Source organism: Homo sapiens, chromosome 10 (assembly GCF_000001405.40).
Source record: "Homo sapiens chromosome 10, GRCh38.p14 Primary Assembly".
Lineage (NCBI taxonomy): Eukaryota > Metazoa > Chordata > Mammalia > Primates > Hominidae > Homo > Homo sapiens.
The window spans coordinates 64,369,034-64,388,297 of record NC_000010.11 but is presented as its reverse complement, the minus strand read 5'-3'; the positions used below and the strand labels follow the sequence as shown (position 1 = coordinate 64,388,297).

Below are 19,264 nucleotides of genomic sequence, written 5' to 3'. Positions count from 1 at the left end.
GAGTAAGGTTACCAGAGCCAGACCATCCTTGCCAAAGCCAATTCCACTAATGGGAATTTCCTCTGGGTTGTCCCAGACTGTCAGATAAGCATCACGGTATGAAGTCTTTCTCTGCTCAATCCTGATCCTTTCCCTTTTATCATTTAGAAATATTACTCTCCAATAAACTCATAATCCTAACTCAATTTGATGCCTAAAGCACCCAACTAGTACAGTTGGTAGCAGGCATATTATGAGGAAGCAGGCAGTGCAATGGGGTTTTTAGACTGGATTGTTCTGTGTTTGACTGGCAATAATAACTGTATGGTATGTGGGGCACATGGCACAAGATAGTGAACCAATTGTTTAAACTTTCATCAGTGGTGAGTTGGGAAAGTATTGTAGTGTAGGAGACCACCCTGGCTGGTCCACTGGCATTTGAGAAGTAACAGAATCAGTGCATATAAGTACTGTGGAATTGGCTAATTATCACTAACTATATAGATGCCCTACAGACAGATAATGAAAACTTTGTGCCATTAACAACTAATTGAAAGTATGCAGGCTAGAGGATCTATTAATGTAACTTACAAAGAGCCCCTTATTCCCTATCTTGGAAGAGTAGAAACAGCTAAAGACAAAAAAACTGGAAATTTAATATTTAGAGTTACAAACCTTTAAATATGGTTGAGTGCTAATGCAGGTCTGTTATTTCAAGTCCTGGTCAGAGAAACTTGGGTCCTTGATATATGGGATGGGGATATCTTGATGAATGCCCTTAAAGACTGGCTCTCCAGCTCCTGTACACCAGGTTGGTAACACCCTCCATGTTAAGAGTTGTAAGCAAGCTACATCTTAGACAGTACTTAGTAATGAAACCAACTTTTTAAAATTTTTATAAAAATGAAGTACATGAAATAATATCTCACTGTGATGTTATTTTGCCTTTTGTTTATATCTTTACCTTATTAGCCAAGAATTACCTCTTCATATTTCTCATATTAAAATGCAGGATTCTTTAAATATTGTGGGCACTAATTATTTGCAGATTAAACCTTATAATTATCTTATCCTAGAGTGTGGCATATCTTTTCAGTTTTTAATGGTCTCACTTGAGGCAAAGAAGTTTTGACTGTCAGGCTGGGCCCAGTGGCTCACATCTGTAATTCAAGCACTTTGGGAGCCAAGGGCGGGAAGACCACTGTAGTCAGGAGTTCGAGACCAGCCTGGGCAACATAGTGGTACCCCATCCCTACAAAGAGTAAATAATTTTTAAAAACTTAGCCAGGCATGGTTGTCCACATCTGTAGTACCAGCTACTTGGGAAACTGAGGTGGGAGTATGGCATGAGCCCAGAAGATAGAAACTGCAGTTAGCCATGACTGCACCATTGCATTCTAGTCTGGGTGACAGAGCGAGACCTTGTCTCAAGAAAACAAAAAGAAAGAAATTTTTATTGTAATTGAATTTATTAATTTTACCATGTTTTATTTACAGGATTTGATGTTAAGAATTCTTTTCCTATTCAAGATCATAAAGATTTGCTCCTACATTTTAAGAGTTTTTAATTTTGCTTTTTATATTTATGTCTTTAGCAAAGTTTTATTTTTCTGTATGGCATGCAGTAGAAAACTCCTTTAAGTTTTATTCTTCACTTGTAGATAACAAAGTGTCTCCGCATAATTTTTATATAGTCTCTTGATATAATTTGGATGTGTGTCACCACCCAAATCTCATATCGAAATGTAATCCTCAACGTTGGAGGTCCCATCTAACAGGAGATGATTAGATCATGGGGCAGATTTCTTACGAATAGTTAGCACCATCCCCTTGATGCTGTCCTTGCAATAGTGAGTTCTCATGAAATCTGGTCATTTCAAAGCGTGTGGCACCTTTCTCCTCTCTCTCTTTTCCTATTTTCGTTATATGATGTGCCTGCTTTCTTTTTGCCTTATGCCATGTTTGGAAGCTCCCTGAGGCTTCCCCAGAAGCAGATGCCACTATGCTTCCTGTACAGCCTGAAGAATCATGGACCAATTAAATCTCTTTTCTTATAAATTACCCAGCCTCAGGTATTTCTTTATAGCAGTGTAAGAACAGACTAGTACAGATAATTGGTACTGAGGATAGGGGCATTGCTATAAAGATACCTGAAAATGTGGAAGCAACTTCTTAACTGGGTAACAGGCAGAGATTGGAAGAGTATAAAGTGCTCAGAAGAAAACAGGAAAATGAGGGAAAATTTGAAACTTCTTAGAGACTGGTTAAATAGTTGTGACCAAAATGATGATAGTGATATGGACAGTGAAATCTAGGCTACTGAAGTCTCAGTTGGAAATGAGCAACTTATTGGGACCTGGAGCAAAGGTCACAAGCATTATGCCTTAGCAAAGAACTTGGCTGTATTGTGCCCATGTCCTAAGAACTGTGCAAGTTTGAGCTTGAGAGTGATGACCTGGGATATCTGGCAGAATAAATTTCTAAGCAGCAGTGTTCAAGAAGTGGTGTGGCTGCTTCTAACAGCCTACACTCAGATGCAGAACCAAAGAAATATACTGGAACTTATATTTAAAAGGGAAATAGAGCATAAAAGCTTGGAAAATGTGCAGCCTGGCCTTGTGGTAGGAAAGAAAAGCCTGTGTTTAGGAGAGGAATTCAAGTGGGCTGCTGAGCAACCACTTGCTAGAGAAATTTGCATAACTAAAAAGAAGACAAGTGCTGATAGCCAAGACAATGGGAAAAGGGCCTCAAAGTCATTTCAGCTATCTAAGATGCAGCCCCTCCCATCACAGGCTCTGAGGCCTAGAAAGACAGAATGGTTTTGTGAGCCAAGCCCAGGGCCCTGTGCAGCCTCAAGACACTGCTCCCTGCTTCCTGGAAACTTCAGCTCTAGCTGTGGCTTAAAAGGGCCCAGGTACAGCTCAGGCCACTGCTTCAGAGGATACAAGCTGTAAGCCTCAGTGGCTTCTATGTGGTACTAAGCCTGAAGGTACACAAAGTGCAAGAGTTGAGGCTTGGGAGCCGCCACCTAGATTTCACAGGATGTATAGAAAAGCCTGAGTGTCCAGGCAGATGCCTGCTGCAGGGGCAAAGCCCTCACAGAGTACCTCTACTAGGGCAGTACAGAGGGAGAATGTGGGGTTGGAACCCCAACACAGAGCCCCCACTGGAGCACTGCCTAGTGGAGCTATGAGAAGAAGGCCACCAACCTCCTCCAGACCCCAGAATGGTAGAACCACCAGCAGCTTGCACCTTGTGCATGAAAAAGCCACAAGCATTCAACTCCAGGCCTTGAGGCCAGCCCTGGGGACAGAACCATGCAAAGCCACAGGGGTGGAGCTGCCCAAGGCCTTAGAAGCCCACAAGATTGCATCAATGTGCCCTGGATGTGGGACATGGAGTCAAAGGAGATTATTTTGGAGCTTTAAGATTCAGTAACTGCCCTGCTGGGTTTTGGACGTGCATGGGGCCTGTAACACCTTTCTTTTGGCTGATTTATCACTTTTGAAATGGGAATATTTACCTGATGCTTGTACCCCCACTGTATCTTGAAAGTAATTAACTAGTTTTTGCTTTTACAGGCTCATAGGTGAAAAGAACTTGCCTTGTCTCAGATGAGACTTCAGACATTGGACTTTGGGCTTTTGAGTTAACACTGGAATGAGTTAAGACTGAGGGATTATTTGGAAGGCATGATTGTATTTTGAAATGTTAGAAGGACACAAGATTTTGGCAGTACCAAGGTCAGAATGACACAGTCTGGATGTGTGTCCCCACCCAAATCTCATGAAATGTAATCCCCAGTGTTGGAGGTTGGAACTGGTGGGAGGTGATTGAATCATGGGGCAGATTTCTCATGAATATTTTCACACCGTCCACTTGGTACTGTCCTCGCAATAGTGAGTGAGTTCTCATGAGATCTGGTCATTCGAAAGTGGCATCTCTCCACTCTCTCTCTTGGTCCTGCTCTTGCCATGTGATGTATCTGCTCTCCCTTTGCCTTCTGCCATGATTGGACACTCCCTGAGGACTCCCCAGAAGCAGATGCTGTACAGCCTGCAGAACTATGAGTCAATTAAATCTCTTTTATTTAAATTACTCAGTCTCGGGTATTTCTTTATGGCAGTGCAAGAATTTTTCTTTCTAACCTACAATTCAACCTCCTTTATATATCTAATTTTTATATGTATTTCAGTCTATTTCAGTGCTCTTTAGTCAGGTCCATTAGTCATTTGCCAGTGGAGACTATTCTCCAGTATCCTGCTTACCACACATTTGATACCTAATGGGTCAAATCCTCTTATTCTTTTTAAAAATTATCTTGGCTATTCCCAGCCTTTTTTTCTATCATAGAAATTTCAAAATCAGCTCATTCACCACCATTAAAAAAATTGCACTTTTTTTCTATTTTTTTCATGTTATTTTATATACATTTAACTAGTTTTCCATCAATGTGAGCCAACATTTCGGATCTTCCACTTTGTACTCCCTCCTCAAATTACTGAGTATCCTCAAATTGTTTGTAATACATTTTTTCTCTTACTCTATATGAAGCTGATGAAGTAACTGGGAAAATGGTGAAATGGCAAGTGCTGAAATTATTAAGTGGACTAGCAGCAAATTGTCAAACTGAGATCCATAAATTAAAGATGTTGTGAGGACTCTTGGTTTTCAGATTCTCTCAGGCATACGTGAGACACAGACAGTTCCTTACCCCAGAGTGAGTGTAATTCAGGCCATTAATGCAATCCCCCTAAGCTTTCCTGGAACCAATAATGCTGTGCAACCTTCCAAAGGAACCATGGGTGGCCGGTCTGTTTCTCTATGGGAATCTAATGCTCTCTGAAGACTGGACACTCTTATTCACGTGGGAAAATAAGCTTTGCCCTAGACTGTCAGAAAAACAAACTTTCTTCAAGACTTCTGGTTCTGTGGCCACACTTCTCCCACACCCACAAACAGTAGATGAAAAACAAACAAACATAAACACATTTTCTTTTTTTCAAAAATTTCAACCATACAAAAACATGTAAAAGAGGTGTACACATGTACCCTTCACTTATATCTATCAACTGTTAATATGTGCCACATTTCCATTTGATGATAGATGATAGATAGATACATAGATACATGGATAGGCAGATAGAGAGTCTTAGTCCATTTGATATGTTATAATAGAGTACTAGAGACTGGGTAACTTATAACCACCAGAAATTTATTTCTCATAGTTCTGGAGAATGGGAAGCCCAAGGTCAAATTCTCAGCAGAATTAGTGTCTGGTGAGGGGCCACTTCCTGATTCATAGATGGCCATTGTCTTGCTGTGTCCTTTCATGGTGGGAGGGGTGAGGGAGCTCTTCAGGGCACTAATCTTATTCATGAGGGCTCTGCTCTCATGACCAAATTACCTATCAAAGGCCTCACTTACAATATTATAGCATTGGGGGCTAGGATTTCAACATATAAATTTGGGAGGACACTTTCAGTCTGTAGCACACAGATGATACATACATATAAGTGTATTACATATATATAAGTATACATACATATAAGTATATATACATACAAGTATACTTTGATGTTATTGCTAAACTATTTGAAAGTAACTTTTAGCAATAATGACATTCATTTCACTCCTCACAACTTCGATGTTTATCTACTAAGAATTAGGATATTCTCCCAAATAACCAAAATAACTGTATCATACCCATAAAATATAAAACTTACAGAAAATACTATCTTATATGCAGTCTTTAAACATAAAGCTCATGCAACTATTTTTTAAATTTTGATCCAGGATCCAATTTTGGTACCTTAGATAAATATCCAAAACTATTCACTCTCCCTTCTCTTGGATTTGGCTCCAGCCATGTGACTCTCTCCAACCAGTGAACTGTTAGAAGGCTTTCAAATGTGCTGGCTTGTGTGTTTCTTTCCATAGTTCCATGAAAAGAGCTTCCTGCAGGGTGTGTTGGCCCTAGGCAGGCAGTCCCTTGAGTCCAGGAGTTCAAGACTAGGCTGGGCAACATAGTGAGCCCTCACCTCTACAAACAAAACAAAACAAAACAAAATTATCTGTGCATGATTGTGCTTGCCTGTAGTTCCAGCTACTTGAGAGGTTGAGGTGGGAGGATCCCTTGTACCTAGGAGGTTAAGGCTGCAGTATGCCCATGATCATGTCACTGCACTCCAGCCTGGGCAACAGAGCAAGACCCTGCCTCAAAAAAAAGAAAAAAAAAAAGAGCTTTCCTAGCATAGAAATTGTGCTCTGAAATAACCGTATGGTAGCAGAGACACCCCAGCCAATCCCCACATCCATGAGCAAAATAAGTGCTTATCATTGTATGTCACTGAGACTCCATACTTGGTTGTTATGCCACAAAAGCCAAATGATAAATCAATGAAAGATCCACATACATTTAGTTATCATGTCTCTTTGGTTTCCTTTAATCTAGAAGAGTTCTCCTCCTCATTCTCTCCCTCACTACATGCACCTTTTCAGATTTTTCCTTTCAAGCTATTGACATTTTTAAAGAATACATGCCAGTTGTCAGGAAGGACAGTCCACATGATATAGATGTGTCTGACTGTTTCTTCATGAGAAGATTCAGGTTAAATGTTGCTGGCAAGAATACTGCATTGGTGAGGTTGTACTTCCCATTGCATTACATTAAGTCACATAATAGTTTCTCTGGCTTCTAATAATGCTGAATTTGGTAACTTGGTTTACAAAAAGTTTGCCTTTTTTCCTGATTTTAGAGGTAATTCTCTCTGTTTGTATTTAACAGTCTTTGGGTTGATACTTGAGATTACATGACTATCCCACCCCCAACAACCTTTTACAAAGGGTTGCTAAAGTGACCATTAATGATGCATGCCTGAATCAATTTTTAACTTATTATTCATTTTTAAATGGTGATTTTTGGCCAGGTTTGGTGGCTCATGCCTGTAATCCCGGCACTTTGGGAGGCCGAGGTGGGCAGATTGCTTGAGCCCATGAGTTCAAAACCAGCCCGGGCAACGTGGTGAGACCCTGTCTCATTAAAATAAATACATAAATAAATAAAATAAAATGGTGATTTTTAAAATCCTATAACAATTTCTATAATTCTTAACTGATATTCTTTTGTAAAGAATGTTTCCACCACATATAGTTTATTATTTTAAATTATGGTCTTATGGATTATTGTCTGTGTCAATGGTTTATAATCCATTAATAAAATTCATTTTTGGATGCTCATAATGTCCCAAATTCAGTCACAGGAAGCCCATTTCAAAACTTCCAGTATTGTCTTATCAGTGTTCCATAAGGGAACATGGACAACGTTTCTAAAGTTCACCATATGATACTGTAAAATCTTTATATATATTTTGTTTATACATTCAAAGAAACAGAATTGGCTGGGTGTAGTGGCTCACGCCTGTAATCCTAGCACTGAGTCCGAGGCGGGTGTATCACCTGAGGTCAGGAGTTTGAGACCAGCCTGGCCAACATGGCGAAACCCCATTTCTACTAAAAATACAAAAATTAGCCAGGTGTGGTGGCTCATGCCTGTAATCCCAGGTATCTGGGAGGGTTAGGCAGGAGAATCGCTTGAACCTAGAAGGTGGAGACTGCAGCAAGCCAAGATCATGCCACTGCATTCCAGCCTGGGTGACAGAGCGAGACTCCGTCTCAACAGAAAAAAAAAAAAAGAGAGAGAGAGAGAAGCAGAATTGTGAAGTCAAATGGTAGTTTCATCAGTCACAATCTATGCAGGAGACCAAAATCACACAGCAACTTGAACATAGAACATTTAATATAAAGTTATTAACTGGTAATTGGTAACTAGAGTGACAGGTGGTTGGCTCCTAAGGGATAAAGAAAAATTCTAAAGAATAGAGGAATATCAGCTATAGGGAATAACTACTATCCCTGCAACTGAAACAGAGTAACAAAGGAAGAAGAAATGTGAGAGAGACACCCTCCCATGAAGAGGCAGAGATTTAAACCACTGGAGAGGCAGTGGCTATGTCCCACTTGATGGCAGAGAATTTTGCTGAGGTGCTTCAGGCCAAAGTTGGCAAACAGTAAACCATTGACTATGACAAAAGAAACTTGGTGGGGGGCTCTTGTGGAAGAAAGGAAATATTTGCTGTTGAACAAGCTGGGAAGCTGAAATAATTGCTTGCCAGGAGGCCACCAGGAATTATCTCTCAATGGGGCATGTTGAAGTTTCTGAGAAACCAGCAGGGGTCCCTGTGACACTCAACTGGAAGCTACCTGTGTGGATGCTACTGGAACTCTGGAGCTGAGCTCCACTGGGTGTCCCACATACCAGCCAGGCATCACAGAAGCTAGAAAAAGGACAGCACAGTGAAACCTTGCAGGAAATCTCCCTCCTACCATCTCTTTCTAGTGCCCTCTGCTTGTGAATCTTAATATCATGCCAGTTGACAAAGGAGAAATGTTCACTAGATCCAGTTCCAGTTTGGTAAGCAGAGCAGCAAAGGCAGATTTGGAGATAAGAGGTAATAGGTTTGCAACATATATAACAGATAAAGGGTACCCTCTAATTATATACAAGTCTCTTGTACATAGCAGGTGTTGAAAAATGTTGCCCTCTTCCAGCAATGTGCAAAAAAGTCTTTCTTCCTCAAAGCTCTACCAAATAGCACAAGCTTTCAATTTGTTTGTGAATTTTATGCATGAGAAATGGTATTGCAGTATATTCTTAAATTTTAACTTGTGAGTAATGTTGAGCATCTTTTACGTGTTTAATGGCTATTTGTATACTAAGTCTGTGGGAATGTCTGTTAAATGACTTTTGTCCATTTTTCTATCAGGTTCTTGTTTTCTGTTTTTTGTGGTTTTTTTTCTTTTTCATTGATTTTAAGAGACTTGTATCTAATAAGAGAGATTACCCTTTATCTGTGAGATATGTTGTAAATATTTTTCTTGCAATCTGTCATTTGTCTTTTCACTTTATTTATCATGATTTGTTTTGTTTTGCATTATTTTGCCAACTTGCTGATTTTTTCCTTGTCTTTCATTTTAAATCATGGACAAGGAAACTTCTTTTATACCCAGAAATGCACTCATGTTTCTTTTATTTCTTGGATAGTTTCAATTTTTATATTTCTGAATCATCAGTAATTCACTTAGTATGGTGTAAGATATATTTTCCCAAATAATTGTCTAGTTTTTTAAGTAATTTCTCCAATTATTTGAGATGATGTTCTTATCATCTTTTAACTATGTGTATGAATGTTCAATAGAAACTAGAAAACTGTGGCTGGAGAAGGGGAATGAAATGGTTTACCTTACCAAGTATGGATATAAAACATATCATAAAGCTTTTATAATTAAAATAGTGTGGCATTGGTACAGAAATGGAGAAATAGATCAATGGAATAGAATTTAAAGTCCAACTACAATAGTGATCAGGCAAAACAACACAGCCAGTTCTGAGTTTTCACCTTAGAGAGATATCAATGAAGTAATAGAAGTGGGCAAAACTGTTACATAACAAACTACCCTAAAAGTTATTGGGTTTAAACAAGAACCATTTTAGGTTATTATATCTCATGACTTTATAGGTCAAGAATTCAGCCAAGGCTTTGCTGGGCCATACCTCTGCTCCACATGGCATTCATAGAACAGTTTTCAGCTGACAGATGGACTTATCTGTAAGACCCAAGGGTGCTTCATCTACATTGGATGGCTGTGCTCATCTGGCACCGTCATCCACAGTACCTTCAAGTGGCCTCTCAGTCATAGGCATTTCATGGTAGTGGGCATCTTAAGTGGTAGCACAGGCAAGGCTTCAAGGTGGAAGCTACAAGGTCTATCTGACCTTGCCTCAGAATTTTCCCAGTGCCTCCTCTGCCATATTCTATTGGTTATTAACACATCACAGGTCCAGCTCCAATTCAAGCAGTGGGCCTGTGTGAGTACCAGAAGGTGTGGTTCACTGGGGTGGCAGTATATCTTTGGAAACTGGCTACCACAAAAATGAAAAAAAGGAATTTAAAATCTATATTGCAGAAGAAATATTAAAGAATGCCGGCCAGGCATGGTGGCTCATGACTGTAATCCCAGCACTTTGGGAGGCTGAGCCGGGTGTATCACGAGGTCAGGAGATCGAGGCCATCCTGGCCAACATGTGAAACCCCATCTCTACTAAAAATACAAAAATTAGCCAGGTGCAGTGGTGGGTGCCTGTAATCCCAGCTACTCAGGAGGCTGAGGCAGAAGAATGGTGTGAACTCGGGAGGCAGAGGTTGCAGTGAGCCGAGCTCATGCCACTGCACTACAGCCGGGGCAACAGAGAGAGACTCCATCTCAAAAAAAAAAAAAAAAAAAAAAAAAAGAATGTCTTCATCATTAATGGGCAGGATAGGAGTGAGGTGAATAAGCAAATAAAACTTACCAAAGGAAAAAAAAAAAGAAAACACAAAAGAAAGTCATAAAAAAACTATATAGTATTAGGTAATTCAGACAGTAGAGTCAGGAAAAAGAATGGTCCACACTGTAACACGTTAAATAGGAGCATGAAGGGTAGAGACTGAAAAGAGAAATTTTCTCTATCCTACACAGAGAAAATTGAATTTCTTAATAAAGTTGTCATGGGTAACTTTTAAGGAAGGTATTTGTGTAAAGTGATGACTAATAATTGTGAAGTCAAATAATAAGAGGTTTTGAGTAGAGAGTGAAAGATGAAATAATTATGCCCTCTCTTTACTATATTTCAAAGATTTAAAAAGATAAAAATCTAAAATTTTGAAGAATTATCTCTAAGTAAGGCTGAAATTAATAAGTGTATTCCTATCACTGGGTCTATCAAAACACTTTTTAAAAAGCATTGTTACTGAGGTCTTCCCAACAAGTTCAGGGAAGTAATATAGAATACAGAATGAAAAATTCATCAATATTTAGAAACTCTAGTAACTAATCAGCACTTAATTATGTCTTAATTTGAAATGATAAGTAATTATCAAGTAAGAAATCAAGTAAAAATGGCAACAAGTATTATTGAATATTTATTATGTGCATCCACTATTCTAGATTTAAAAAAGACAATATTATACTACATAAATTATAAGAATCAAGTGATATTTGTATTATTCATCTCTCAATACAGATTAGCTCCAGGCATGGGGATGTACCATGGCATACAAATTATCCATATCCTATTAAATTAGATCTGAAATGACATTCAGAGGCTGTTCTTACTATTATAGTATTCCCATGCCACTAGTCTCTGGTGAGATGTGGAAAAGCTTAGAATGGAGATGGTATACAGTGGAGGAATCACAAGGAGATTCTGTAGGGCTAACAAAAACAGCTAATTTAAAAGTGAAATATTCAGTAAATCAAGCAACTATTTTGTATAAATAAGGAGTAGACATTAAGCTACCTGAATACAATGCCCAAACCTATTTCTTCCATTAGAGGAGTAATATTTAGAAAGTTTAAATGTGATTTTTGTCTTTTGCCTTTTCTAGACCATTGGAGACAATCATTTGCTTTTGGAAAGATTGGATTCTATTGCAAATAAAATGCAATGTAAAAGAGCAAGATAATATTCAGACTTTGGCATGTAAACTTACTGTCTACAAAAAGAATTTTCTATATTTCTTTATCCTTCCACCAACCATCCCCATTTATCATAACAGCAAATAAGCATGAATGACTCAGATCATAAAGCGCACTTCTAGCATACAGGATATTCCCCTTCTAGTGATCCATGTTTGAATAAGGATAGGATGTAGCATAAGCAAAAGAAAAGCCCACGGTTTTCCTAGCACTAGAGTACAGAAGCAAGCAAAAGAAGAGAAAATTGGAAGAAAGAAGAGTGAGTAATTATTTCTCCTACTTTCCCTGTTGGAGCCTCTGCCTTAGAGAGAAAGGAGGTATGTGAGGTACCTAAGAGGGAGGGCAGAGGGAGCTCTTTCTGTTTGTGACTGGCTACTGTTACCCCACGGTGACATTAATGTATAGTTGGTCAGCCCTGGGAGTTAGTTCACTCAGTCACTGTTGGTTTCTGGGCAGCATAGACTGAGCTCTGAAGGAATAAAGCGATTACTGGGGAGTTTCCATAGAGATGCCTCCCTAGTGAAGGAAGTAGAGCAGATCACCCAGATAGGAATAAACACAAGTCACATCGGACCTCACAGGGTTCTATAGTGCTGAGGGGAATAAGAAGAGATGTTCCTCAAGGGAGGAACATCAGGTCCTGTCCAAGTGGACAAAATCCAGATCACTAATAAACTCAGATAAGCATGTAGCCACCAAGGCAAGTAGCCATCAAACAGACAAAAGACACTGTCCTTGAGGCTACAGGAGCCAACAATACTATGGCTGAAGACCTCGACTCTCCCTGTTTATCATGAGTTTGTATAAACTCTTACCTCCTCATGCTGCCCCCTCTCCTACAAACACACAAATACACATACTTTATTAGAGAATGTCCAGGAAGCGGGGTAGAAACCTGAGAAATCTGGGAGATTGAAATTTGCCCTTTTCCTTGACGACTTCAGTATTACTGAAGGGGCTGTTTAAATTATCCAATAAAATTAATTTTAAAACAATTTGGACCTTTTGTTCTTTTCCATTAGAAACCAGAGGAAAGGAGGAAAGGAATGTGTAAAGAAGGTCAGAGCTTCTAGAGACAACATTTAAAATGAAGTCTGTAGACATTCAGGTATCAGGTTGCAGTGTTACATGCTAAACTTCTCTGTGGCCAAATTTCCGTGAAGTGTTGGATAGACATGTGACAAAAGGAGGTCGGAAGAAGTACGCAAGGAAAGAAAAAGGACTAAAATATGTTTTTATTTGATTTTACTTACAATTGATATGATTCAGTGTTTTGTGACATGTAGACATGTCTGTGGCTGTCTCCTAACACTTACTGCTCAAGTTCTCTCATCAGTAGATATTAATAATAACAAATCAGCAGAGTAATCCGAAATAATGTAATTACTTATTACCCTGAAGAGTTCCACTGAAGGCTGTTGTCAGCTAAAGAGAAAGAACAAGAGCCCCATAAAATAAGGTAGGTTTTTAAGGCTAATAATTCATAGGCTTGCTAAACTTCAGACAAAGTTATTACCCCAGGAGAATCTTGAGATGTAGCAAGTAAATGTTTTTTTTTCCCTCCACAGACCTAGATTTAAAGAGACTTAATGGAAATGGTAGGCAAAAGCATAGGATTAAAATATATCATAATAATAATTCCAGTGTTCTAGAAAAGGAACTCTTGACAGAAAGAAATGAAAAGAACATATAAAAGAGAAGAATACAGATAAACTAGTATTGCCTCTGACAGAAACCTCACTAGTTTATTAGTCTTCATCCCTAGGAGTTTACAACTCATAAAAAAGTTCCAATAGGAGTCCTTTTCAGATTATATATTGTTAAAGTTACCCAAAAGAAAGACTGAATTACATTTACTATGACTAAGGAAATCTTCTGATCATAGAAAATGCATTAATGCTTAGGCAATAGTAAATTGCTAAACATAGAACATTTTTAGTCTATTAGTGGGTCTCAAAGACTCAAGTGTGCTACAAAGGCAATAAAATTCTAAAAATAAACAAATATGACTAAAGTACATTTCCCTAGGAATAGGTATAATAACTTACTTTCAGATTACAAAGTCCCAAGTCTGAAATATGTGAGGAGAGATAAAAATATAGTCAGGTAGATAATAATACCATATGTCTGCTTTTAATCTAGGTGCTCTGTGATGACATATAGATTAATTGAACCTTACAGTCAAGGGACCTCTACCCTATCAGGGAAGAGATGCATAAAATAACCAAGACTTGAAGTTGATGTAAGGAGTTCAGAAGAATGGAGAAAGTAATCACTCTTAAGCTGGAACAATAAAAAGAGCATCATGGAGGAAATTGGACTTAACTGGTTATCAATTACATTAAAAAGATGGAGAGTCATACAATAGAGAGAAGAAGCATGACTAAAACATGAATGTACAAAAACTAAAAGTGTGCATCTTCACCTGGAATGTAGCAGCTACCTTATAATGTGGAGAAAGGGAGGGAGGTAAAAAAGGAAGGGAAAGAAAGAAGGAAGGGAGGGAGGGAGAGAGAATGGGAGGAAGGACCAAGATACAGAAGAAGCAGGGAACAGAAAAACATTTTAAAATAATTAGAACTAACATCCTCTGAGATAGGTGAGATTGTACACATTGAACAAGAATAGAACGCTATTTTTTTTTGAGATGGAGTCTTCCTCTGTCACCAAGGCTGGAGTGCAATGTCGTGATCTCAGCTCACTGCAACCTCTGCCTCACGGGTTCAAGCGACTCTCTTGCCTCAGCCTCCTAAGTAGCTGGGATAACAGGTGCATGCCACCACGCCCGGCTAATTTTTGTAATTTTAGTAGAGATGGGGTTTCACGATATTGGTCAGGCTGGTCTTGAACTCCTGACCTCATGATCCACCTGCCTTGGTCTCCCAAAGTGCTGGGATTACAGGCGTGAGCCACCGTGCCTGGCCAAATTCTACTTTTTTAAAAAGTGAAAAATATTAGTATCTTTTTGTGAATAGTTGTATGACATTTATGTAAAATATTAATGGAATAAACTGGATGAAAGGTATACAGGAACTTGGTGTACTCTTTTTGGAACTCTTCTAAAATTATTTAAAATTTCATTTTAAAATTTAAAAACTTTCAAAGGAATGAAAGAAAAAATATATTTTTCAAGCTTTTCTCTTCAAATACAAATAATATGAATGTGTATTCGAAGATATTTTTGTGTATATGTAGATATTTGTATTTGACTCTGTGTGTATGTATATATAAACATCTGAATATTTTAATAGACAGTTTGGAAGACAAATTTGGTAAAATTCCCAGGAAGTAGAACAAAAAGATAGAATGAACAATTCCCTTCCCTTCCTGGTATAAAGGAGTTGGAAGGTAGGGAAGGGAGGGAAGGGTCACCAGTAGTATTTGTTACGGTGCTCAAGAACACAAAACACTAAAGAAGAAGGGCATGGAGGCTTCTGAAGACATGTTTTCAGTGTGTCCACTGGCAATCAAGGATGTGAGGTGCCTGGGCACTATTGGGTAGTGGGAGGGATTAAATGGCAGACAGAAGAGTCAGTTGCCAAAGTTGAGTGAGCAATTTATTGGGCAAATAATAAATTGATTAAACAAATGTGGTGCATAATGAGAACTAGGTTTTTCACTGTTAAAGAATGTATTTACAAACATGGAAAGAGAAAGGGTAGGAAGACTTTGGACTAAAATTGGAGGCTTTAATATGAAGTCATGGTTTTTGAGTGTACATGTTCTTATACACATATGTATTTAGAAAAGGTAGTGAATACACCAAGTAGTCAGATCTTGGCTTCTAATAGTCATCCTCCACTAAAAGAAACTGGAGCTTCTTAAAGAAATGACTTTTTCCGAGTTCGATTTAAAGACAGTAGAAGATGAACCTCAGACATCTTGTGGTGCCAGACCATTATTCTCTTACACAGAGAATAATGAGAGTGTATCAAAAAAACATAGGAGCTATCTTGAAGTTGCTCCTACTGGCCTAATCTGGGCCAATTTGAGCATGAAAATGATGACAGTAAGTAATTAGAAATCATTGAATAAAATAGAAATCCATAAGTTTGCACCAATATAAATAAGTATATGGATAAATAAATGGCAGAGAAGAGAAAGTTCTTCATTACAGAAGAATAACAGAATGACAACTTATAAGTGTTTCAAAAATAATGAATACATAAATCACCGCTATGTAATCATCACAGTAATAGCTAATTCAGCCACAGGTGTGGGCTGGAAGAAAGGCATCAGAGCAAGGAGGGTCTGGCCACCTGCTTGTACAGCTTATTTTTGCCCATAGCCCTTCTTTTGCTCAATACTGGATGGACCAGTTCCATCTTACTATGGATTGATCCTAGGTCTACTAAACCTTTTGAAATAGTGAGTCTGACAGAATCCATTTTATAATGGATATTTCTATCACATGGTGTTCCACAGTCAACTCTACCAGTGCCTAGTATCACTAGAGTCCAACTCCACCTGTGCCTAGTAGCACTAGAGTCCAACTCCACCAGTGGCTAGTATCACTAAAGTCCAACTCCACCAGTGCCTAGTAGCACTAGAGTCCAACTCCACCAGTGCCTAGTAGCACTAGAGTCCAACTCCACCAGTGCCTAGTAGCACTAGAGTCCAACTCCACCAGTGCCTAGTAGCACTAGAGTCCAACTCCACCAGTGCCTAGTAGCACTAGAGTCCAACTCCACCAGTGCCTAGTAGCACTAGAGTCCAACTCCACCAGTGCCTAGTAGCACTAGAGTCCAACTCCACCAGTGCCTAGTAGCACTAGAGTCCAACTCCACCAGTGCCTAGTAGCACTAGAGTCCAACTCCACCAGTGCCTAGTAGCACTAGAGTCCAACTCCACCAGTGCCTAGTAGCACTAGAGTCCATCTCCACCACTGCCTAGTAGCATGCCAGGAATTATTATTGAAAATGTAACTTTCCACTACAGACTGTTGACTGGGGCTTGCCATAAACCTCACACAACACCTTTCTTCACCACAGAAACCTCTAATACCATGGGTTCTTCTGGGTTATATGGCCCTTCTCACCACTGGACCTACTTCTGGTGAGACTATTATTTGCCTTTGTTCACATTAATCTGCATTGATAAATAACATTTTTTAAATGAGGGAAATAATGGCTCTGTTAGATGGTCACTTCACACCTGGAATCATGGATGCAAATCTGGAGACTGACTGAAATTTAAAAAGAAGTTGTATTTTTCTATTTGGTGGCATCCCTGTCAGATCACAGATGACTGGTACAATCTAAAGAGAGGCAGATTTCAGCTGTCTCTAAGGAAGTACTAGTAGACATAGCTGTTCAAAAAGGAAAAGGGCAGTGTCTAAAGGTAAAGAGCTCCCTGTTCTCAGGAAACCGCTTGGATGATTTGAACATCATATGGGAAACTGGGCTTCATCAATGGTTTGTAACTAAGGATTCAAATCAGAATACCTGGAGTGCTTTTCTTTCAAATCATGTATTAATAACTGAGACCTGGTGATTCTCATTCTGTAGATCAGGAGGCTGCTCAGGTATTTCTGATGAGCATCCTCTCTACAGAAATCTGTATACTTGAAGGTGACCTTGAAGTTTCTTCTAACACTGAGCTCTTGTTTTACTTAGTTGTAGTTTTAATTGGATATAGAAAGCCAGTGGTAACTATACAACATTTAAAATAACACAGATTCAAAATAAAGACTCTTGGTTTTTCCATCATGAACATGTAAACTAGACTTAGCAAGAGAAAGTAATTACAAACACAGAAAAATAATTTATCTCCAGTCAATATTCTCATCCCTCCTTTTTCTTCCAAACAATTGATTATTCTGTAATTTTGCATGTGATCAGAGATAGGGAAAAGCAAATAAAAAAGCAGACAGCTATTCAACAGAAAATTCTGGAGCTATTTCAAATGTGGGTAACTATGTCTTATTAGATTATATTATTACTCTACAAAGCTGGAATAATTGGTCTCAGTAGAATGTGCTGTGTTTGTTGAATTCCCTCTGAAAATAGCTTTATTTCTTTATTTCCTGAAAAGGCTAAATAATATTATAAATATAATATACATCATGTAGTTTAAAATATGCCCAAGAGGAACACATAAGAAAGCTCAGACAGGGTTGCAATCTTTAAAAACAAGGAGGAAGCATTTTAATGTAACATTTTTTTCTTTCACAGACTATAAACATTACAAAATTACAGCCCCATTACGTAAGGTTTAGAAGTGAATAAAATACTACTTTTGACATTCTTCAGAAGATAATGAAATAAAATATATTTTAACCACACTGAATAATAAAGCTGTAAACAAACTGCAGAAATACCTTCCTTCCCACCTGAATAAAACAAGTATTGGTTCAGAGTCTTGCTATTATTCTGAAGTGTCTGAGGACTTCCTAGCAATCTTGATGATGACTGAAGTTCAAAGGTCTGTTAAATAAACCTTAAATGACCATTCACTCTGTTAAAAGTTAACTAGCTAGATTTTGGCATTAGAGAGACTTGAATTAAATGTCTAAGTTCCCATACTTTTTAACTGTGTGAACTTGTGTGAACCTATCTCATCTTACTAAGTTAGTCAGCCAGTCAATAAATACTTAATGAGAGTGCTAAGCACTAAGGCTTAGTAATTAACAAGATAGACACTGCCATGTCCAGAAGGCCTCATGGGGTTGAAGCTGGGCAGCAGGGATGGGGTAGAAGGACTCAGGGACTAAAATAAAAAGAAATGTATCCATCATGGGAAGTTTGATCTTAGATTGAAAACAAATGGCAAACATTAAAGGATTTTAAGTAGAGAAGAAAGGTAATATAATTTTAATTGCAGACAAATCCTTAATATCATATAACACATATCCCTTCCAAAGACCTTATACCTCATAAAAATATTAAACTCACATGTATCAAATCATTGAAAAGTTTAACAAATTGAATCTGTAATTGCTAAAATTAAAAAGAATGATGATAGTAAGTGTCATCAAAGAGGGGAAGTAACTGGAACCCTCATACATTCCTGCTGTGAGCATAAAACTATAAAATCACTTTGAAAAACTCACAGTTTCTTGCAAAGGTAAATTACACTTACATGTGATCTAGAAATTCTATTCCTTAGTATTTACCAAAGAGAAAAAATATATATCCAAAAACAACACTTAGACATAAATGTTCGGAGCTTCTTTTTTCACAACTGCAAAAACTAGAAACTATACTAACGAACATCAACAAAGGAATACATAAATCACCACCCGAAAAAAACCACCCAACACAAGGTACTACATACTATATGGTTCTACTTATATAAAATTCAAAAACTGGCAAAACTGGCATATAATCATAGATATCAAAATAGTGGTTGCCTATGGAAGGTGGGGTTTTTCTGGAGCGGGACAAAAATACATTTTGAGGGTTATGAAGAAGTTATATCATTTGGTGGTAGGTAAATGAGTGTTTATATACATCAACAATTTTTTTTTTTTTTTTGAGATGGATTCTCGCTCTGTCACCCAGGCTGGAGTGCAATGGCGCCATCTCAGCTCACTGCAACCTCCACCTACTGGGTTCAAGCCATTCTCCTGCCTCAGCCTCCCGAGTAGCTGGGACTACAGGTGGCCGCCACCATGCCCAGCTAATTTTTGTATTTTTAGTAGAGACGGGGTTTCACCATGTTTGCCAGGCTGGTCTCGAACTCCTGACCTCAAGTGATCCGCCCGCCT

General features: G+C 38.4%; 1 long non-coding RNA gene across 4 annotated transcripts in view, besides 2 other annotated features; it reads right to left on the bottom strand.

Moving 5' to 3' along the window:
* Positions 1-19,264, bottom strand: part of LOC124902439 (uncharacterized) — an 820,351-nt gene that overhangs the window by 304,642 nt on the left and 496,445 nt on the right. The window lies entirely within an intron of this gene.
* Positions 1,936-2,765: an enhancer, noted in NCBI's record as "OCT4-NANOG-H3K27ac hESC enhancer chr10:66145293-66146122 (GRCh37/hg19 assembly coordinates)". NCBI's record gives its function as "activates a minimal SCP1, AML or CMV promoter by ChIP-STARR-seq in naive and primed H9 embryonic stem cells {active_cell/tissue: H9 hESC(naive and primed)}" and the evidence as "EXISTENCE:reporter gene assay evidence [ECO:0000049][PMID:30033119]".
* Positions 2,766-3,596: an enhancer, noted in NCBI's record as "OCT4-NANOG-H3K27ac hESC enhancer chr10:66144462-66145292 (GRCh37/hg19 assembly coordinates)". NCBI's record gives its function as "activates a minimal SCP1, AML or CMV promoter by ChIP-STARR-seq in naive and primed H9 embryonic stem cells {active_cell/tissue: H9 hESC(naive and primed)}" and the evidence as "EXISTENCE:reporter gene assay evidence [ECO:0000049][PMID:30033119]".